The 23981-nt window shown below is 34.7% G+C and overlaps 1 protein-coding gene and 1 pseudogene across 1 annotated transcript; both read right to left on the bottom strand.

The window, feature by feature from the left end:
- Window positions 1–4503: 4503 nt before the first annotated feature.
- On the bottom strand, window positions 4504–12525 carry OR6C1 (olfactory receptor family 6 subfamily C member 1). The gene is made up of 2 exons (NM_001005182.2): window positions 12269–12525; window positions 4504–6301 (listed from the first exon to the last, which is right to left on the bottom strand). The coding sequence occupies exon 2, from the start codon at window positions 6266–6268 to the stop codon at window positions 5330–5332; it is 939 nt and encodes a 312-aa protein (NP_001005182.1). The 5' UTR covers window positions 6269–6301; window positions 12269–12525; the 3' UTR covers window positions 4504–5329.
- On the bottom strand, window positions 14111–15033 carry OR6C5P (olfactory receptor family 6 subfamily C member 5 pseudogene; annotated as a pseudogene).

Here is a 23981-nt window from a genome sequence, read left to right as displayed (position 1 = left end):
GCTTGCTTCTTTACTGTACATGTGGTTGACAAACAAAAGGGAAGAGGGGGTGGCCATGTTGAATATGCCTGGCCCCAGATAGCCTTTTCCTATTGGCACAAGTGCCGGCATTCACCTGTTCAAGCATCTAGCCTGCTTTTCTATGTCTGCAGCTTGATTTTTCAGGCTGCTCATTGTCAGAAAAGAAATGACTTGGGGGCTGCTTTTTATTAAAAGGGAAACCTTGCCAAGGACTCTCTTACCCTCACTACCTAAATAATTTATTTCTAGATCTTGTATCACTAAAGCATGTTAATATTGTTCAAATTTAGGACTACACGATTTTTACATAATCCCTTCTCTCTTTGATCCATTTGTGTCTTCTTTCTCTCATATTGAGTACCCTGGCTATCACATTAATTTTCATTTGTTTCTTTTCCTCACGTTGCATATACAACAGTATTAGAATAACAATGATGCCACTGCCACCCACAATGTCATTCCTGAGAACAGTTTCAGATTTATTTTTAGCTCTTCTCTTTGTGCCCTTAGATTAAACCCCACGTGGAGGTACAGACCAATTGATGTATTGAAAACCAACTGGAATAATTCTGTTTAGGTGGTTACTTCACCAACTTAATACACCGTTTATTATATTTAATTCACTTAAGTTTTATTTTTCAGGGATTTTTAAAAAAATTAATGCATTTGTAATTATTAAATACTAATATTTGCCCAAAGTCAATAATAAATCCTAATTACATTTCAAAAAGTCTATATTTAAACATTGATTCTTCCAACCTCTTTCCTTCTGTTAAGGGGCTGGGGGGTTGGTGGTCCTTACTTACAGAGCTCCCAAGATGGTAGCGGGCTGCTTTCAAAATGGCGGCGGGCCGCTTCCAAGATGGTGGCAAGCTTTGTGTTCTCTGACCTGGGGTTCTTGGCCTCATGGATTCCAAGGAATGGAATCTTGGGCCATTTGGTGAGTGTTTATAGCTCTATTAGAAGCCATGGGTCACGGAAGAGAACCATGGAACCCAGTGACTAGTGTTCAGCTCGATTAGGATGAACCCTGGCACTTAGCCATGCAGGAACAATGGCAAGCCTTTAGCCTGATCAGAAGCAGCAATGGGAGCCTCTCTGGATCTGGAGCACAGCAGACACCCTGCCAGATCTGGAGGGATGGAAGTCAGCAGCAGGTCTGCAATGGCGGCAAACAACAGTGGTGGACAGAGAGCGAAAGCTCAGCTCGAGCCCTAACAAACACGGACCAGAAGAGTGCAGTTGCAAGATTTAATAGAGTGAAACAGAGTGAAAACAGAGCTCCCATAAAAAGGGAGAGGACCCAAAGAGGGTAGCCATTGCCGGCTCCAATGCCTGGGTTTATATCCCGATCATTGTCCCTCTCGCTGTGCTCTCAGGCAATAGATGATTGGCTTTTTTTTACCTCCTGTTTTTGCCTAATTAGCATTTTAGTGAGTTCTCTTTACTATCTTATTGGTTGGGTATGAGCTAAGTTGCAAGCCCCGTGTTTAAAGGTGGAAGCAGTCACCTTCTCAGCTAGGCTTAAAGATTCTTAGTCAGCCTAGGAAATCTAGCTAGTCCTGTCTCTCATTTCCTTCTCTATAGGCAGTTTTAAAAAGTGTTATGGCTTATTCCTCGTTTGTTCCTTTTTTTTTTTTTTGAGATGGAGTCTTGCTCTATCACCCAGGCTGGAGTGCAGTGGTGTGATCTCAGCTCACTGCAACATCTGCCTCATGGGTTCAAGCCATTCTCCTGCCTCAGCCTCCCAAGTAGCTGGGATTACAGGTGCACACCACCACACCCAGCTAATTTTTGTATTTTTAGTAGAGACTGGGTTTCACCATGTTGGCCAGGCTGGTCTTGAACTCTTGACCTCAGGTAATCTACCCGCCTCAGCCTCCCCTAGTGCTGGGGTTAAAGGCATGAGCCATTACAGCTGGCCTCATTTGTTACCTTTTAATCATAAATAATTTACACATTAATATTCCTCCTTCTTAGTAAAACATACAAATATTTTCCCTGTTTTATTTAATCAATATATGTCCTGAGGACCATGCTACAACAGTGTATATCTCTCATCCCTTCTACAGCTGCAGTGTATAGCTATACTACAGTTTATTCAAATTCTTAAAGACATTTATCCAATTCTTAAGATATTGGAAATGAAAAATGCAGCCCTACTGTTGCAGACTGTCTGGTTGGTAAGAGAAATGGGGATTTCAGGAATCTCAGGTCTCAAAATATGCAGAGAACAACCTATTCCTGGATACAGGCTAAGTTTTTCATCAGTAATACAGTCCACTTCCCACAACTGTATTCTTTCTAAACTGCTGTAATAATTTATGGTTGAAACTAAAGTGTCCATATGTATAGGTTCTGTCCAATTTCCTATTACAGACTTCCTTTAAATAAAGCTTGTTTGTTAAGTAAAATCAGTATAGAAGTTTAGCCTGGGAAATGACCCAAACCTAGCTATCTGAAGGTAGAGTTATCCATTCAACACCATTGTAAAATGTCTGTATATCAGTAGATACCTATTGGGTAGAAACCTGTAATATGAATTAAATGTTGAATGTCTACAAGCACTTCCAGAAAGTGAAAGCTTATTTGGAAGACACTAGAGGAATTATACTGTTGGTTATAACTATGTAACTTATACTTGTTTCTAAGGACAATAATATATTTGAATTGTTTTGAGCTGTTAATCTGTTAGTTTGGAACTGTCAACCTAGGATGAATGTCACCCATGCTCTGTCACCCAGGCTGGGTGGCATGTGCTTGGGTTCAGTGGTGCGATCTCAGCTCACTGCCACCTCTGCCTCCCAAGGTTCAAGTGATTCGCCTGTCTCAGCCTCCTGAGTAGTTGGGATTACAGGCACATGCTGCCACACCCGGCTGATTTTTGTATTTTAGTAGACACGGGGTTTCACTGTGTTGCCCAGGCTGGTCTCAAACTCCTGACCTCAGGTGATCTGCCCACCTTGGCCTCCCACAGTACTAGGATTACAGGCATGAGCCACTGCACCTGGCCTAAAAAGACTTCTTTTTGTGGGTATTTTAATGGTGTCTCTGATGGAAGTCTGGCTGCATTATCATCCAGGCCCTCTATGATAGTTATCTTTTAGATTTCTTGTATAATACTGTGAATGAACTCTAGTTGCATGAGTTATGTTTTTTTTTATCTCTCTCTTCAAAAAGTGCCTGACAAATGAATGCTAATCTCTCTATTATGGACAAGTGAAGTTTATAGCAATAAGAATCTAATGATGTGATTATGTGTTGCAAATGTGGGATCACCTATCTGCATATAAAGAACACAATGGTTGAGTTATTATTCTTTAGAATCTAAGCACTTATTCCTGGTAATCATATTGATTACTTTCTAACAAGTCTAAAATAATTCTAAATCAATTACCATAAAGAATACAAATATTTCAGACTGGTCTTCAAGCAATTCTATAATTTGTTTCTGGCTAAGTACATGTACATATCCTGTTTCTCAGTAACAATCTAATATGCACCAATGTCAATATTCCAAGGACTCTCTCACCTCTCTCATTTAAAAATTCCAAAATTCTGTAATTATTTTTCATATCAATCATGTTACAGCATAATGAATTTCTCAATATTTTATAATCATACAATCATCTTTATCAGGTTTCCATAGATAACTCTGATTAAAATTTTCTCCTCCTCATCTGTTACTGAATTTAGTTTATACATCTTTTCAAACATTGATGATAATGTCATTTAGTTTTAATTTTTATAAATGCATCTGTCAGCTGTCAGCTATTATTGACCTGAAATCCTAAAGAAATAAAATTTTTTAAAATGTAAATCTGAACATAATTGTAGATGTACTATATGTAAAAATAACAATAGAAATAGTCGTTACTATGTATTGTTAGCTCATTATGTTACATGCTTTACAGATTGATTTCCATTCTTATAGTAACTTACTTAAGATGTTATGCCTGGTTTACACATGAGAAAATATGTGCTCAGAGGGCATAGAAACCACAGACTTTCAATCATTTTTCTTGTTTAACATGAAAATGTTATTTCTAATAGGAAGTAATAAAATTAAGAAACCATTTCTATCTTCTGTTTAACATTTTGAATTCATTTCAGTTTTCTTTGACTTTTTTTCTCAGCAAACCTTGTTCTTAGTCTCCCAGTTGAATATATTGCACAAAAATCTTAAGGAATTTTGTATCACTGATTAGAATGATAATTTTTCTATTACTTAAAAATGTGGTCTATAAAATTTATAGTACTTTTTAGTATCATTAATTCTTATTTCAGCTTTTGAAACCATGGGCGCAGACACACACACACACTCATCTTGCTTGCATATTTTAGACATTTATTAATATGTTAAGTACAAGGAAGCAAAATTTTAACAGATAAAAATCATAATTTTAGATATACTAAAAAACTTTTGCTTTTTTCTGAAGCTTTTATTTTCTATAAAACTAAACTTTAAATAATTTTGTTCAGGTATAAAATAATTTGGATACATATCCTGTTTTAAACTAGTCTAAAATTTAAGAAGATTTACATACTACTTTTAGGTAATGATAGAAAGAAGCTTATTTTCCACTCACAGAAAATTAACATATCTTAGGAATATACTATATATTCTCTATGTTTGACAAAACTTATGTATGTATTTGCATATGTGTCTATCCATCATCTGTCATTCTACAGAGAGAATATTATGGGATTCACAAATATGGAGCTCTACTTAGCACTTATAACAAAAAAGTATATATTGATAATGGTCTAGGCTCCTTTATTAATAGATTAATTTCACCAACATACCTAATTAAAATGAGTAATGAAATTTTTTTTTGCTTTTCAAATGAATTCACTTACATTTTTTAAAAATTATATTGTATCTTTCACATATTTCCTAGAACATCAGTAGCATAGTGAAGGGAATTTCTATAAGAATAAATTAAAATTATAAAACTATATGTTCTGTGTATAACAAGTAGAATATCATATTGATATTTATAAAGCCATTCCAATGTATCTAGGTATAATTTTATTTCTTGAAGTAAACTGAAGAATAATTTTAGTTTTCAAAATATTCTTGAAGAGCTTGTAATTTTACAAAAAATTGTTCAAAGGAGGGGGTGTCAGGAAGACACAAGAAAATTATTTTAAGTCAAATGAGAAATATATTAAATAAATATGCTTGCAAACTTTTAGGGAAAAGAAAATGATGCAGAAGACTGCAAGGAGGCCATTTTGATTGAAGAAGCTACTGAAAATTCATATTGTCCTTTCCTGTGCCTCTAATTCATCACACCATACCATTTCATGTGCTTGTGAAAAATACAGTCTTCCTTGCCATGTTAATGAAAGCTTGCTTGACTTGCTGATTTCTTAGGCTGTAAATAAAGGGGTTCATCATGGGGGCTACTGAGGTGTTTAGTATTGCCACTCCCTTGCTCAAGGACACTCTATCTTTTGCTGAGGGTTTAATGTACATAAAAATGCAGCTGCCATAAGAGATGGAGACAACAACCATGTGGGAAGAACATGTGGAAAAGGCCTTTGTCCTCTGACTAGTAGAAGGAATTCTCAAAATTGTTCTGATAATGTATATGTAGGACAGAAATATTAATGCCAAAGTGAACATTAGAGTAAACGCAGCACAAGAAAATCCCATCACCTCTAAGAATTTTGTGTCTGAACAAGCAAGTTGCAGCAGTGGAAAATAATCACAGGTAAAATGGTCAATAATATTAGACCTACAGTAATGAAGCTTTAAAAGCAACATGAGTGCTGGGAATATGATTAAGAATGAAACCAGCCAAGAAGTAAAAACAAGCAGTGTGCAGACTCTTCGATTCATGATACTCAAGCAATGCAGAGGCTTGCAGATGGCCACATAGCGGTCATAGGACATGGCAGCCAGAAGGTAAAACTCTGTGACTCCCAAGAGAATGAAGAAAAATAACTGAACTATGCAATTATTAAAGGAAATGGTTTTATCTCCTGAAATAATGTTACCCAGAAACTTGGGTATACTGACGGTTGTGAACGAAATTTCTAATATGGAGAAATTTCTGAGGAAGAAATACATGGGGGTCTGCAGGTGGGAATCCAGCAGGGTAATTGTGATAAGGGTCAGGTTCCCAGTGATGCTGAGCATGTAGGTGATGAGCAGGAAGACAAAGATTACAACCTGAAAATTTGGGTCATCTGTTAATCCCAGAAGAATAAACTCTGTTATTTCTGTATGGTTTCTCATTCTTCAGTTGCTTTCTTTTTTCCCCTGCCAGACCTACAAGAGAAAGTACAAAGAACAAACTTGAAGAGTTATCAATTAACAAATATCCAAGTACGGAGCTGGAGTTTGGTTGACATAGTATGCCATTTCTACTTCAAGGGGAAATTTAACGCCACCCGATAATAACAGTGGTCCTTTAATTTCCACTGTTTTACAGGTGAAAACTCTTCACATAAGACAGGTTAAAAATTAAAGTTTGTTATCACAGTTGGAAGTGGTAGGGCAGGAATTTGAAACCAGACTTTCCTGACTCCACATAATACCTGTTATCTTTCAAAGACATGCCTACAAGTTTCCTCCCTAATCAGAACCACCTTCGTATTCTTGCACAAATCCCTATACAAGTTTCCTATTTATGTAAAAGTTTGATTACTCTGATGATTCTCAATATGGAGAAGATACTTGAGGTTGTTTTTTTTTGAGGTGGAGTCTCACTCTGTCACCCAGGCTGGAGTGCACTGGTGCAATCTTGGCTCACTGCAACCTCTGCCTCCTGGGTTCAAGCGATTCTCCTGCCTCAGTCTCCTGAGTAGCTGGGATTACAGGCACGTGCCACCACGCCTGGATAATTTTTGTATTTTTAGTAGAGATGGGGTTTCGCCATGCTGGTCAGGCTGGTCTCGAACTCCTGACCTCCAGTGATCCACGCCCCTTGGCCTCCCAAAGTGCTGGGATTACAGGCATGAGCCACTGCAACTGGCCCAGTTTTTAAAAAGTGAGTGCTTTGTCCTTAGCCATTGTGAAAGTTGATTGTATGGATTGGGTTGGGTCATTTTTGTCATACCCAACCAACACAGGGTCAAGATGCCAGGTGGGAAAAAGCACACAGGGCACATGGCATTGCTCTAAGAATGTAATTCTGTGTAAGCCTGACTGCTGAAACTGCCTGCTGTAACCTGAAATCTGTGTTATCTAATAGCTGCTGAAATCACCTGCTGTGATCCTATGGGTATCCTATGGGTAGTTTTACTCATTGCCTTAACTTACCAATCAAAACTTGGCAGCTCCCCTAAACCTTTCCAGTGTCAATGAACTTTCTTGAAGAGCAATAAATAACATTTCTCTTTTTTATGCAGATTCTAACCTTCTCTTCGTTCTTTGGACATACTGAAAAACCACCTGGTCTGTGTGTATTCCTTGAATTGAAGTTTTTGGTTACCACCTAAGATGTTTTAAATTTTAGAGATTTGTCTCTGTATTTTATTTAACCTTAATGCCATCGATCAACTTTTGTGAATATTCAGATTTTCCAACTCCTACGTCCACTTTATTGAAAATCAGAAATACTTAAGCCATTACCATGAACAACTTCAGATGTTTGGAATACAGAAGAGGAAGAAGTATAGAATAATGTAAGCTGGAAGAGCCCAAAACTGAAGTTTATTGCATGTGAATCAATATTTCATGATATTTCATGATATTTCAGCCTACCTATGTGTCATTTTATAACTTTTATTCCTGTAGAAACCATTTTGCTTTATAATTGAAATAAATAAGTAAATAATAAAATATTATTAATTTGAGAAGGATGCCCTCAGTTAAAGAGATGATAGATAAGTATTCTCCAAGATTTGCTTAATTGTGTATTCATACTTTGAAATAGCAATTTTTAATTCTTTCTTTTTAAAAATAAAGTTCAGATGATATTGTCATAAACATTTCCATAGAAAAGAGTGAGGTTATCTAGTTTTGAATCCAACCCATTTACTACGTCTGAAAATCACTTAACACTTCTGTGTCTCAGTATCCTCACCTATAGTTTCTTCCACTGTATACAAGTCTGTCTCATAGTTTTTGTGAGCATTAAGTTAATATATTTAACTTAATAACTTTCATATAACTTAATATATATTAGCTTACTTATAACTTTTCTAAATTCTTTATAAATATGTGTATTTGTATAATTTATATTTATATTTTTATATAAATAAATTTATTATATATTGTATAATATATATTTATAAAGCATTTAGAAAAATGCTTAGCATTTAGCGAAAGCTGTATGAGGCTTTGTTCTATGGAGAAAGTATTTCCTAACCATTGAGCTGAAAATCTCTGGAAATGGGATGGTGTCCTGTCCAAAAGTTTATGACTTAAATAAATAGTAATAATTATATTTGGCACCAAGAGAGTCACATGAGAACAATAACAACAAAGCAATAGGAAAAAAGTCACCAGGTTTCATAGTACCTGTCAGATATTCTAGGCAAGTAAATCTTTGCTCTTCCTTGTCTACATGGTGCTGACCTCTCCCACCATGGTATAGCTGCCTCTTTCACCTCATAACCACCACCACCACACACACACACACACACACACACACACACACACACACACACTCCACTTATCTTCAACCAGGATTTGATCACTGTGATGTTCATAGCTTGTCAACATTGCTACTCACAGCCAGTTATTTTCTCTGCTCTTCATTAGTAATAACCCTTCTAAAAGTGGTTGAAGCTTACAGTAAATTATATGTGCATATATATTATATATACATATGTGAGTGTGCATATGTATTTATGTGTGTGTATATATGTGTGTGTATTTATGTGTGTGTATATATGTGTATGTATATATATGTGTATATATGTGTGTGTGTGTGTGTATATATATACATATATATATAATATATATATATATATTAGCATTGTGGGTAATACATTGTGGGTAATACATTGTAATGACATCCCAAATTACCTTTGTTCTTATTTCTACAACACTAGGTTTAATACCCATTGTGTACATTGCATGAGAATATTATGCTCATTCTTCCCAACTCATCACACTTACAACAGGCTGAAATCTCCTGTTAACTCCTCTGTTACTCTGTGCATTCTTGAGAGTTAGAACAGGATTTTATCTTCAAAGCTATTTCAACATAATCCAGTATTTAGTATGGTTGTGGTAGGCTTAAAGGAAACACTCATCTAGTTAATTAATTAATTAATTAAAGTTGAGTTTGTTATTGAATCACACACTGCCATCAGTGCAGTTTGCTATTTTATGCTGATATTCTAGCCTGGATCTTACTTAGTTTTTTATCTTTGTTTTACAAGATGTATTTTCTTACATGTCTTACCTTGTGAGCTGTGTTTACATATTTGGATCAAGTTCACCGTATTGGCTAAATTTAAAACAAAAGATATGAAAAGGGAACCACATTTTATTGATACATAAGTTTAAAGAAAACTTCATGAAACATTATTTCTGAATTACTGGGTTTAAATTTTTTTACAATTCATCCTTTCATTTCACTTTACTCCAGCTCCAGCAACATCATCCTTATTTCATCAGGGTTTATTTTTCATTAAAAGCATGAGCTTTTCATAACACTGTGAAGTCACAAAATACATTCATACCAAATATACAAGATTTGGATTCAATCTGAAGATTCAATTTTATTCAACAATTTACTGACATGAGAGACTCAAGTTTTTAAAAAATATATATTATATTATTACTGGTCTATAGTGAATAATGTATCAATGCACTGTATTATTCACCTTATTTCAACTTTTTTTGTAAATCTGTTTTCCTCTTAAATTCCCTGCTAATTTTTTTTAACACTTTACTCAGTAATAATACCATGACTCATTCTTTTGCTTCAGATGAAAGCTGTGAGGGAACATAGGAAAAGCTGTGAGGGAAGATATAAGTTGTTATTTGAAGGGTTCATGAGAGACTTCACAAAAAAAATAGACACTTCCATAGCTGGTCTTCAAAGACTAGGGAAACAGGCTTAAAGGAACTCTAGTAGCATGTGATCCAATAACAAGAACTGGGTGTGGTATATCATGCTTTTATGTAGAAATGTTTATGAAAGTTTAATGAATTGTATTCAGTTGCCAATATAAAATAAGCTTGATAAAAATTATCAGCATCCATAGTCCTTTGAGAGGATTGAACCTCAATGTTTAACAAGTTGCAATGAATTCCTAGAGAATTAAAAGATCTCAGGACGTATTCATATAGATAATGAGGAATAGGTCCAAGCATTTAATTAGTTATCTTGGATTTTTATATCTGAATGCAAATCCATATTTTCTCCTGGAAGAATATGGCTTAGGTTGTTTTCATTTCCTTCCACCATTTCAACAAAATTACTTACTTGTTTTCTAAAGATTCCTGCAACAAATTATTTGAGCCATTTAAAATGAAAATTAAGGGTGATATTTAATATTTACTAAATAAAATGGTTACAAAGCATCTTCAGAGCTTTCTAGAAACAACCCTATATCTTGCTCTGCCATCAGGTAAATATTAACGATGACCCCTTAAATAAATTAGGTTAAATATTGGCAGTTATTTGATGTGCCTGGTAAGAAAGGGACTGTTAGAGACTAAATCAGTTTGAAGAATCTAGGTATGTGCTTTTAAGAGACTGAGATAAGGGACTGACTGGCTCTATTTTATTATTCTCTCGGGGGGTGTGTGTGTGTGTGTGTGTGTGTGTGTGTGTGTATGTACTTTTTAATAAGGTATTAAATTACACTGAGTTGAGCCCTCCCTTAGTAATGCAAATACTTTGAAAATCTAGTTTTTAAATTTTTCTGTGTTTACTCAGTTCTTTCTTCTTCACCTTAATAGAGATCACTGAAAAAATTTTGCAGAGCGTATCTTCAAAAACTATATTGCTCATATAACTCTGTGTTTTTTTTCAACTTTAGAGCTTAGGTTAATACACTAATGAAAAAGAAAATTATTTAGCTCAATGTTGTGGGCAATATATAGCTCAGTTTTATAATTATGCTGAAATACACTTTGGTACTGCTCGGTTATTCTAGGCTGTGGGCCATGACACAAGGGTTACTTTGAGAAATTCTGTAGGCCTGAATGAAACAGTGGCTCTTCAGGAAAATTCATTGAGTGCTTGAAATAATTATTTTATTAAATTTGTTTTTTACTGTTTTTATAACAATTTTAGATGACTATTTCCCCGGAGAAATAGGAATAATTTATATTTCTTCCTTTCGATAATGATGGGCAGGTTTAATTCTCAACCTTCATACAAGTGTGTATAGAAACAAATCAAGGGAAAAGAGGTGTCACCAAATCACACTTAATTTCATAAATAGTAACACTCATTTCTGTAAAGGTTTCTGGAAAATAAACACTCATAACCTCATTCCTTCAGTTCATTAACTAGCCATTTATAATTTTAACAAGATAGGAAAAGGACATAAATTAACAGAAAACTGTGGTATTAACACACTGTTAATTTCTTATTTATGACCTATAAGGCCAATTTATTATCACAGAAAGTATATAGGCTTTAACGTTAGAGAGATATGAATGAGACATTTAATGGATTTGTGACTTTGGGTGAGTTACTTAATGTCTTTAAATTTCAGTTTTCTCTGTTTAAAACAGAGTTGAAATTTCAAGGATGTTTTTGGGAATTAATTGAAATACTATAAATAAGTGTTCCATAAATCATGCAGCATTTAGTAGGTTCTAGGAATAGTTTATTATTTATTTTTCCTTTATTGGAAATTAATTTGGGAAAATATTCATTGTAGTTGTGATTTATTAAAGGCAGTATCTATTCTGAACTAGGGACTTTTTTTCTTTATCTCATTTAGACTTTATAACATAACTGAAGATTTTATCCTTATTCTGAAAAGAAGAGCTGAGGCTCAGAGAAATTATATAACTTAATTCATATAGCTAGGCAAACATTAAGTATAATTCAGACGACTTAGCCTCTTCTCTTAAGCACAGTACTATATAGCTATATTTGATTAAAAACACAGAGACAGAGATAGTGATTTCCTGCTTTTAATTATTAGAGAATGAATAAACTGGTATAATAGGACATGCTAATCCTTTTTATACATTTTATTATGTGAAGTTTCAAAGTATAATACCTATTTACTTTGATTAAAAGTTGAGCTGTTAAGTAATGATTCAATGCTATGATTTGAGAGACTTCCATTGCCTTCCACAGGTTTTACTTACCTCTGATTTTCATATAGTTTCACTAACATTCAGAATGGCTGGAATAGTAGAGATATTAGCAAATGCCATTGCTATCCAGTAAAACCAGGATTTCTGAAAACATTCACTTTCTCATTGAAGAAATTTTCTTCCTATTTTCAATCTTTTGTCTTAATTTTCCCATTTTATCCAGACAGAATATGTGTCTTTGATAGTAGAGAGTGAGAAAGGAGCAAAAATATAAAATAGGGAAAGTATCTGAAAGTGTTTTAGAACTGTCTGGCATGGTTTCTACATAGATACTAGATGCCACGAGGTACGTAATGTTTCATCTAGTCTGTCTGCCACTGGCTCAAGGGGACTAATTCAGTGAATCAAAATTGCCAGAAGAGAAATGTACACAAAACACTAGGGAATATAAAACATAATACACATTACTATTTAAATTGGAAAAGGAAGCTTGGGGCACAGTGTCCAATGAGACAGAAAAGAAAATAACAACAAACAAAAACAATACTAAGTGTGAAGATTTTTTTCCCTTGACATTATATGGCATACAGAGATAGCAATCAAATATCTTCATTCTTAGTGCAGATCTCTCTACTCAATACTCCATGCCATTTGTAAAACTGGGAAACTACTACCCCATTATTTTTAATCTGCCTTCTAGTAACTTTTACTACTGTAATACTGCTCACACTTTTCTCTGCTCACTGTATTGCTCACCAGCAATGGCAGTTGAAGAGTTTCTTGTTTTGATTGATTAATGTTACAATTTATATACCAAATATATTTTTAGGAGTTAGTGTCTGTCTAGACTATAATAGTATAATCATGCCCAAATGAGATAATGTAACTGAACAAGACAATAAAATTGTGCAGATTCTTAGTAAAAGCTATGCAAAATTTGCAAGTCCTTGCAGAGTTTCCACTATGTGTAAAAATAGAGCAAAGACTAGTTTTTTGGTTTGTTTTTTAAAATATACTATTATATTGTGTACTATAACTCAGTTACCTTAGGCAAATTACACAACTTTTCTGAGTATCAATGTACACATTTATACAAAGCAGATAACCACGTCTATTTTGCATGTAGCTATAAAGATTAAATGAGATATGAGATAGAACATACCTACCCCAGCATATGGAACAGAGTAAGTACTCTCTATAGAGGAGCTATTATTATTTAGGAAGTTTATATCAGACTCTCAGGGTGCCTAAGAGCAATGATGGCTGCCTAAATATTTATCTTTTTATACATTTTCAAAAACAAAGACATGATGAATAAGGAGAACATATAAATTAGACATAGTGTGTACCTTCAGCATAACTAGAAAATAGAGTATATTTTGAACTTCAAATTACTTGTGAGTAGGAAAATAAATACCCAAGTCCATCAGATGAGTAGGAAGAATTGGACGGATACTGCATGCAAAAAAGGTTTGTTGCAGATAGTAATTTATTTCATATATCATATATATAGAACATTTGAAAAAATTGTTATGTGAGTAACCAAGAAGAGAAATTTTAAGAGTAAGTTGATTAAAAGAGTGTTTACTTCTTTAAGTAACCATGGTATGAACCATTTGTATTGTTCAGAATAATCAACAAGGTGATTTATGTTTATAGCCACTGGTTTTTTAACCAAAATTGGAAATCAATGGTTACGTGGAACCTACAGATAGTTTTAAAGGAAGGCACAACACAGTCACTTTCAAGTTAAAAAGAAAACTGAAGCAAATGAACTCAGCATTTCTGGTAGCTTTGAGATGGGTATAGGAGGATAGTGGACAAGTTAAAACTTCACTTTTCCTTTATTGAATCTTTACGATGACATTCATTCATGTTAGTACATACTTTTCATTTGTTTCTATAAAACACTACTTTGTGAGCCAAATCTTTAAAAGCTTGTTTTACTTGCTGGTTTCTCAGGGTGTAAATAGAAGGGTTCAGCATGGGGGCAATTGAAGTGTTCAGAATAGCTACTCCTTTGGTCAATGATGCTCTTTCTTTTGCTGAAGGCTTGACATACATGAATATGCAGCTTCCATAAGAGATGGAGATGACGATCATATGAGAGGAGTAAGTTCCTCTGACTGGCACATGGGATTCTCAGAATAGTGCAAATGATGCATACGTAGGACAGAATTACTAATGCCAAGGTGATCAGCAGAGTAACAAAGGCAAAGTAAAAACCAATAATCTCTAAAAGCCATATGTCTGAGCATGAGAGTTGTAAAATGGGGAAATACTCACAGGAGAAGTGATCAATGACATTGGAAGCACAAAAATCTAATTTGAGGATAAGCGTGAGTGGTGGAAAAATGGTCAGAAATCCTCCCAGCCATGAACTTAAAGACAAGCAGGGTGCAAATTTTCTTGTTCATGATGGTGGTGTAGTGGAGAGGCTTGCAGATGGCCACATAACGATCATAAGACATTGCAGCTAGAAGAAAAAATTCAGACGCACCCATGAAGATGAAGAAAAATAATTGAGCTAAACAGTTGTTATAGGAAATGGTCTTGACCTTAGTAATAATTGCCCCCAAAAATTTGGGGATGGAAACACTGGTGAATGTAATTTCTGAAAAGGAGAAATTCCGGAGGAAGTAATACATAGGAGTCTTTAGACTAGAGTCTGTCAAGGTAAGGATGATGATGGTTAAATTGTCAGTTATGCTTAATACATAAGTTATAAATAAAAAGATAAAAATTACAATCTGAAGCTCTGGGCTGTCTGATATGCCCAAGAGTACAAACTCTGTAATCGTTGTGTGGTTTCTCATGCTGAGATTTTTTTCTTTCAAGAAGATCCGCTGGCGAAAAATAAAACACACAAAAAGAATAAGTGAAATGTAAAGGAATTAAAATTTAAATATTTGTAATAACTGGCTTCAGTGACATGAAGCAATGGATGTCTTTCCTTGTAGTAATTTTTGTAATATCCACTTATTCCTATTAAAGCAGAAAAATTCTACATAGCCTCTATTAAAATGAAAACACGTATTCACATATATGAAAAGTCTTCTTATTGGTGACTTTATATAAAACCTCTTCATCTAATAAAATCTTCTACATGTGCAATATATCTTTGAATTACAGATCTCTACAGCAATATTTTAAAATTATATATGTCATTTTTATTTTTACATATGGTTTTTCAGTTTCCAGTGTTTTTAGGACTGAAATATCTGATTTTTAGTTTGAATTCCAATGTTATTTACAAACATAAATTTTACTGGTATAAATTTATTACCTAATCACAATTTCTGAGCTTAATAGTAGCTATGATTATTTTTATCCTTAACTTATATTCTTTTAAATATGATCAACAAAAATAAATGTGTTTGCAGTCACAGAAATATAAGACTAGAGTTGCTGTGGTTGCAAACGAAAGTTTTTAACTTATGGGAAAGAAAACACAAGCCAGAGAAATTGATTGTCACATAGATGGAGTTCAATAATATCATTCTACAACATACTGATGATCCATGTATATAATTTTCATGTTTGTTATTTAAAATAAAAATTGACTTTAAAAAAAACTATATTAACTTAATCTTTTTAATCTTAAACTTGCCTGATGACAAGAAGCAACTCACAAGGGAGTTTTTCTGATGCCATAAAATCACATGGTCTCCTTTTTTGAAGACTAAATAATTGAATAAATTTTACGTAGGATTTTCTTTATAGAAACCACAAATCTCTAAAATGTGATCTACATGACCTTTATCTGTCTTGTTCTCTCCTTATCCTTAGCAAATGGCATTCTGTCTGTGATATGAGTTCTGAATATTTGTTGTATTACCTTCTTTCTGTAGCACGAACTGAGCCACTCAGGAGATGATAAGTATCAAAGCTGTTACTGTACATTTTTTCCTACTTTTTGTTTTATTCTTCTGTCAATTAGCATTCTTTTCTTTCAAGAAAATACACACTTGGTCATTAGCATATCATCAAAACTGGCAGATCAAAAGACAGAGATTGTTACTGTGACTTGAACAATGCTGAAACATATTAAATGTAAAATTAATAGTAGTAAAGATGTTAAAGTGATAATTTGGGAATCCCTGGTATTTATTCCAACAAAATTAACTTTTGGATAAAAAAGATAAAAATTTGTCTATTTATTGACAAATAAGAAAAATACTTTTTGGTAGGTCTAATTATGTAGTCATAAACATAATTATAGATTTTTCTTGTTTTATTTAAAATATGAAATATAATGCATTTATAATACATTTCAGGAGACTTTTTTGTCGTTTAGTTTACCCTTGTCTCCATTACATAAAAATCCCTCACACTGAGAAAATATAGGCTGAATTACATGTAAGATTTTTAGCAGCCTCTGTTATTAGTAAAAATAAATTTATCTTTTAGCTTTGCATACAAATGTACATGTTGCTCTGGCCTGAACTCCAAGAAGCTACTATTGTAATTCTGAGACTTTAAGTAAATTTTCAGGGAATATTTATTTAAGAAATTGGAAGATAAAACCATTCAAAGGTCTCTGAATAAGATAAAGATTGAATAGTAAACAAAGATATCACAATTTTACCTTCTCTGGTCACCGTATAGATCCCTGAGAGACTAGAGTGAAGAAAGGAAGGATGCATGGAGAGATACATTCAAGAGAAGTAATGAGTCATCACATACCATTCTGGAAAGCCAAGCAATGTAACAAGATAAAGATGTACCAATCAGCTTATACAATGAAACTGCCTTCCTTTTGGCTATGCTTAATTTTCCTAATACGCACATGGCACTCAGAGTCTACACTCAGGAGATAATTTATTCTCCATTCCTTTCGGGGCTGGTTAATTCCAGAGCTGAACTACTCAACAGTGGATCACTCTTTGAGGGTAGTACCAACAATGCTTTATTCATTCACACATCTCTATATGCATTGAGCAGAATGAATGACTAAATAAAGCATTCTAATATTATAAAAAATCATAAAAATATTTAAAACTTCAGCATTTCATTTTTAATTTTAAAACTAATTTATGATTAAGATTATGAGAATCAAGTGTCACAAGAGTATATCATGATACATGGAATGGTCCTTATGTTTCCAACCAAACCTTCATTTTCAAATAAACCAGTTTTAAAATAAGCCAGTATTAAACATTTATAATATGTTCTACCAGGTATTGTTCTGTATATTCATCAATAAACAGTCACAGTAACACATTCAGGGAGAAGAGGTCTTTTTTGTACAGTTATGCAATTTTTATTACAGAAGATACTGTGTATTTTTTTCTTTTTTTTAGTTAACCAGAAATAATGAATGTCATTCCTTCTCAAGTTATCTAAACAGAGTCATCCTTTTGTATCAATTGCATAGAATACCAGAGAAATACTTGTATGTAATTGAATAATATTATTGATTAAAATTTAGGGAATTTTATTGTTACTATTTTCATTAGTTACAATGCCACAGGACATTCTTTATTTCCTGGGATACGTGTGCAGGATGTGCAGGTTTGTTACTTAAGTATACATGTTTCATGGTGGTTTGCTGCACCTGTTGACCCATCATCTATGTTTTAAGTCCTGCATGCATTAGGTATCTGTCCTAATGCTCTCCCTCCCCTTTCCCACCACCCCCTGACAGACCCAGCTCTGGTGTGTGATGTTCCCCTCCCTTTGTCCATGTGTTCTCATTGTTCAGCTCCCACTTATGAGTGAGAACATGAAGTGTTTGGTTTTCTGTTTCTGGGTTAGTTTGCTGAGAATGATGGCTTCCAGCTTCATCCATGTTCCTGCAAAGGACATGAACTCATCCTTTTTTATGGCTGCATAGTATTCCATGGTGTATATGTGCCACATTTTCTTTATCCAGTCTGTCATTGATGGGCTTTTGGGTTGGTTCCAAGTCTTTGCTATTGTAAATAGGGCTGCAATAAACATACGTGTGCATGTGTCTTTATAGTAAAATGATTCATAATCCTTTGGGTATATACTCAGTAATGGGATTGCTGGGTCAAATGGTGTTTCTGGTTCTAGATCCTTGAGGAATCCCCACACTGTCTTCCACAATGGTTGAACTAATTTACACTCCCACCAACAGTGTAAAAGTGTTCCTATTTCTCCAAACCCTTGCCAGCATCTGTTGTCTGCTGACTTTTTAATAATTACCATTCTAACTGGCATGAGATGGTATCTCATTGCAGTTTTGATTTTCATTTCTCTAATGACCAGTGATGGTGAGCATTTTTTCATATATTTCCTGGATGCATGAATGTCTTCTTTTGAGAAATGTCTGTTTATATCCTTTGCCCACTTTTTGATGGGGTTGTTTTTTTCTTGTAAATTTGTTTAAGTTCCCTATAGATTCTGGATGTTAGACCTTTGTCAGATGGGTAGATGGAAAAAATTTTCTTCCATCCTTTATGTTGCCTAGGTTCACTCAGATAGTTTCTTTTGCTGGTCAGAGGCTTTTTAGATTGTTAGATCCCATTTATCAATGTTGGCTTTTGTTGCAATTGCTTTTGGTGTTTTAGTCATGAAGTCTTTCCTGAATGGTATTGCCCAGGTTTTCTTCTAGGGTTTTTATGATTTTGGGTTTACATTTAAGTCTTATTCCACATATGGCTAGCCAGTTTTCCCAGCACCATTTATTAAATAGAGAATCCTTTTCCCATTGCTTGTTTTTGTCATCTTTGTCAAAGATCAGATTGTTGTAGATGTGTGGTGTTATTTCTGAGGTCTCTGTTGTGCTCCATGGGTCTATAAATCTGTTTTGGTACCAGTACCATGCTGTTTTGGTTACTGTAGCCTTGTAGTATAGTTTGAAGTCAGGTAGTATGAGGCCTCCAGCTTTGTTCTTTTTGCTTAGGATTATCTTGGCTATGTGGGCTCTTTTTTGGTTCCTTATAAAATTTAAAGTAGTATTTTCTAATTGTGCAATGAAAGTCAATAGTAGTTTGATGGGGATAGCGTTGAATCTATAAATTACTTTGGACAGTATGGCCATTTTCACTATATTGATTCTGCCTATCCATGAGCATGGAACTTTTTTCCATTTGTTTGTGTCCTCTCTGGTTTCCTTGAGCAGTGGTTTGTAGTTCTCCTTGAAGAGGCCCTTCACATCCCCTGTAAGTTGTATTCCTAGGTGTTTTATTCTCTTTGTAGCAATTGTGAATGGGAGTGTCTTCATGATTTGGCTCTCTGCTTGTCTATTGTTGCTGTACAGGAATCCTTGTGATTTTTGCATTGCTTTTGTATCCTGAGACTTTGCTGAAGATGCTTATTAGCTTAAGGAGTTTTGGGGCTGAGATGATGAGGTTTTCTAAATATACATTCATGTCATCTGCAAACAGAGACAATTTGACTTCTTCTTTTCCTATTTGGTTACACTTTATGTCTTTCTCTTGCCTGATTGCCCTGGGCAGAACTTACATGCTGAATAAGAGTGGTGACAGAGGGCATCCTTGTCTTGTGCCAGTTTTATAAGGGAATGCTTCCAGCTTTTGCCCATTCAGTATGATATTGGCTATGGGTTTGTCATAAATAGCTCTTCTTATTTTGAGATATGTTCCATCAATACCTAGTTTATTGAGAGTTTTTAGCATGAAGAGGTGTTGAACTTTATCGAGGGCCTTTTCTGCATCTATTGAGATAATCATGTGGTTTTTGTCATTGGTTCTGTTTATGTGATGGATTATGTTTATTGATTTGCATATGTTGAACCAACCTTGCATCCCAGGGATGAAGCCAACTTGATTGTGGTGGATAAGCTTTTTGATGTGCTGCTGGATTCAGTTTGCCAGTATTTTATTGAGGATTTTCACATCGATGTTCATCAGGGATATTGACCTGAATTTTTCTCTTTTTGTTGTGTCTCTGCCAGGTTTTGGTATCAGGATGATGCCGGTCTCATAAAATGAGTTAGGGAGGAGTCCCTCTTTTTCTATTGTTTGGAATAGTTTTGGAAGGAATGGTACCAGCTCCTTTTCATACCTCTGGCAAAATTCGGCTGTGAATCTATCTGGTCCTGGGCTTTTTTTTGATTGGTAGGCTATTAATTATTGCCTCAATTTTAGAACTTGTTATTGGTCTATTCAGGGATTCAATTTATTCCTGGTTTAGTCTTGGGAGGGTGTATTTGTCCAGGAATTTATCCATTCCTTCTAGATTTTCTAGTTTATTTGCATAGAGGTGTTTATAGTATTCTCTGATGGTAGTTTGTATTTCTGTGCTATCGGGGTGATATCCCCTTTATGATTTTTTAAGTGGGTTTATTTGATTCTCTCTTTTCTTCTTTATTAGTCTAGCTGAAGTCTATCTATTTTGTTAATCTTTTCAAAGAATCAGCTTCTGGAATCATTGGGTTCTTTTAAGGGTTTTTCATGTCTCTGTCTTCTTCAGTTCTGCTCTGATCTTAATTATTTCTTGTCTTCTGCTAGCTTTTTAATTTGTTTGCTCTTGCCTCTCTAGTTCTTTTAATTGCGATTTTACAGTATCAATTTCAGATATTTTCAGCTTTCTGATGTGGGCATTTAGTGCTATAAATTTCCCTCTTAACACTACTTTAGCTGTGTCCCAGAGATTCTGGTACGTTTTCTGTTTGTTCTCATTGGTTTCAAAGAACGTGTTGATTTATTTCTGCCTTAATTTTGTTATTTACCCAGTAGTCATTCAGGAGCAGATTTTTCAATTCCCATGTAGTTGTGCGGTTTTTAGTTAGTTTCTTAATCTTGAGTTCTAATTTGATTGCACTCACTGTGGTCTGAGAGACTGTTTATTATGATTTCTGTTCTTTTACATTTGCTGAGGAGTGTTTTACTTCTAATTATGTGGTTGATTTTAGAATAAGTGCTACGTGGCCCTGAGAAAAATGTATATTCTGTTGTTTTGGGGTAGAGAGTTCTGTAGATGTCTCCAGAGCTGAGTTCAAGTTCTGAATATCTTTGTTAGTTTTCTGTCTCATTGATCTGTCTAAAATTGGCAGTGGGGTGTTAAAGTCTCCCACTATTATTGTGTGTGAGTCTCAGTCTCTTTGTAGGTCTCTAAGAAAGTTTGATGAATCTGGGTGCTCCTGTATTGGGTGCATATATAGTTGGGATAGTTAGCTCTTCTTGTTGCATTGATACCTTTATCATTATGTAATGCCTTTCTTTGTCTTTTTTGATTTTTGTTGGTTTAAAGTCTGTTTTATCAGAGACTAGGATTGCAATCCCTGCTTTTTTTTGCTTTCCATTTGCTTGATAAATTTTCCTCCATCCCTTTATTTTGAGCCTATGTGTGTCTTTGCACATGAGGTGGGTCTCCTGAATACAGCACACTGATGGGTCTTGACTCCAATTTGCCATTGTGTGTCTTTTAATTGGGGCATTTAGCCCATTTACATTTAAGGTTAATATTGTTATGTGTAAATTTGATCCTGTCATCATGATGCTAGCTGATTATTTTGTGTATTAGCTGATACAGTTTCTTCATAGTTTAATTGGTTTTTATGTTTTGGTGTGTTTTTGTGGTGGCTGGTACTGGTCTTTCTATATTTGTTCTTCCTTTGGAAGCTTTTGTAAGGCAGGCCTGGTAGTGACATAAATCCCTCTGCATTTGCTTGTCTGTAAAGGATTTTATTTCTCCTTCACTTATGAAGCTTAGTTTGACTGGATACGAAATTCTGGGTTGAAAATTATTGTCTGTAGGAATGTTGAATATTGGCCCCTACTCTTTTCTGGCTTGTAGGGTTTCTGCAGAGAGATCCACTGTTAGTCTGATGGGCTTCCCTTTGTAGGTAACCTGACCTTTCTCTCTGGCTGCCCTTAACATTTTTTCCTTCATTTCAACCTTGGAGAATCTGACAATCATTTGTCTTGGTGTTGCTCTTCTCATGGAGTATCTTAGTGGTGTTCTCTGTATTTCCTGAATTTGAATGTTGGCCTGTCTTGCTAGATTGGGGAAGTTCTCCTGGATAATATCCTGAAGAGTGTTTTCCAACTTGTTTCCATTCTCCCCATCACTTTCAGATATACCAATCCATCGTAGGTTTGGTCTTTACACATAGTCTTGTATTTCTTGGAGGCTTTGTTCATTCCTTTTCATTCTTTTTTCTCTAATCTTGTCTTCACACCTGATTTTAGTAAGGTGGTCTTCAATCTCTGATATCCTGTCTTCTGCTTGATTGATTCAGCTATTGATACTTGTGTATGCTTCAAGAAGTTCTTGTGCTATGGTTTTCAGCTCTATCAGGTCATTCCTGTTCTTCTCTAAACTGGTTGTTCTAGTTAGCAGTTCCTGTAACCTTGTGTCAAGGTTCTTAGCTTCCTTGCATTGGGTTAGAACATGCTCCTTTAGCTCAGAGGAGGTTGTTATTACCCACCTTCTGAAGCTTGCTTCTTTCAATTCATCAATCTCATTCTCCGTCCAGTTTTGTGCCCTTACTGGAGAGGAGTTGCGATCATTTGGATAAGAGACTTTCTGGTTTTTGGAATTTTCAGTGTTTTTGCACTGGGTTTTCCTCATCTTCATGGATTTATCTACCTTTGATCTTTGAGGCTGATGTTTTTTGGATGGGGTTTCTGTGTGGGGTCTTTTTTGTTGATGTTGATGTTGCTGCTTTCTGTTTGTTAGTTTTTCTTCTAACAGTCAGGCCCCTCTTCTGCAGGTCTGCTGCAGTTTGCTGGAGGTCCACTCCAGACCTACAGGACATTCTTATGCATTCATTTGCATATGTACAAGTTTTGGTATAACATACAAATAAGTGCTAAATTTTGATGGATACTTCAACATTTCCCTCCTATAGACACGAATCAATTCTTTTCAGTGCGTCCTAACCAACACTGGATATTATAAATCACTTGAAAGTTTTATAAGCAGAGGCATAAAAATGATATCACAATTCATTTAATGATAAAGATGGTATCATAAAGTCCAGATCATAGGGCCTGGGTTTTGAGGTTAAAAAGAACAAATTCCTTTTAAAGTTGCAAAATTTATTTAACCATTCTGAGCATCAATTTCCTTGCCTATAAAAGGGGAAGACCAATACTCCAAGGTCATGGAATATTATAGAGTTTGAATGAGATAATGGATAAAAGTGCTTAGCAGAGTAGTAATGGTACAGCAATTCTTGGTATATACATGTTATATATTTTTAAATTTCATATTCACCAATTAATAGAGGTTGAATATTTTTAATATTTGTATTTCTTCCCTAGGAATTGCCTATTAATAACCCGTCTTCACTTTCCATTGGATTTATTGTCTTATTTATGAACAGGAGATACTTGTGTATTATGAATAGAAACTATTGGTGTGTCTTATCCATTGCAACAGGTTTTCAGAGCCTATCCTTATTTTTTAACTTTTTAATTATGTGTCTCAACACAAAAAGTTTGGACAGTTTGTCATGAGTTCTTGGTGGCCTATTTTTCTTAGGACATTCTTTCCTACTTACCTCAAGTTTATATGAATATTCTTTTACATTTAATACAAATGAAATATATAACTGAGAACTGGGGAAGTAGTTATTTCTCCTTTTATGACTGTTAGGGAATTAACTATGTGCATGATATATTTTCTAGAGCATAGGCTCTGTGCAACCTTTGCTCCGACCTCATCAAATTGTTCACCATTTCTTGTGACTGTGAGGCAATCTCTTTATTTCTCTGTCTCTCTCTCTCTCTCTCACATACACACATACACACACACGCACACTCCAACCCATACTCACACAGTTTTCTTTAAAGTTTCATCTAAATATCAGGTAATCTATGAAATA

Source organism: Homo sapiens, chromosome 12 (assembly GCF_000001405.40).
Source record: "Homo sapiens chromosome 12, GRCh38.p14 Primary Assembly".
Lineage (NCBI taxonomy): Eukaryota > Metazoa > Chordata > Mammalia > Primates > Hominidae > Homo > Homo sapiens.
The sequence above is the reverse complement of the archived record's forward strand: the minus strand, read 5'-3'. Positions and strand labels throughout refer to the sequence as shown.

Excerpts from the sequence above, each read along its gene's own strand:
- OR6C1 (NM_001005182.2), bottom strand. The coding sequence starts at position 6,268 with ATGAGAAACCATACAGAAATAACAGAGTTTATTCTTCTGGGATTAACA.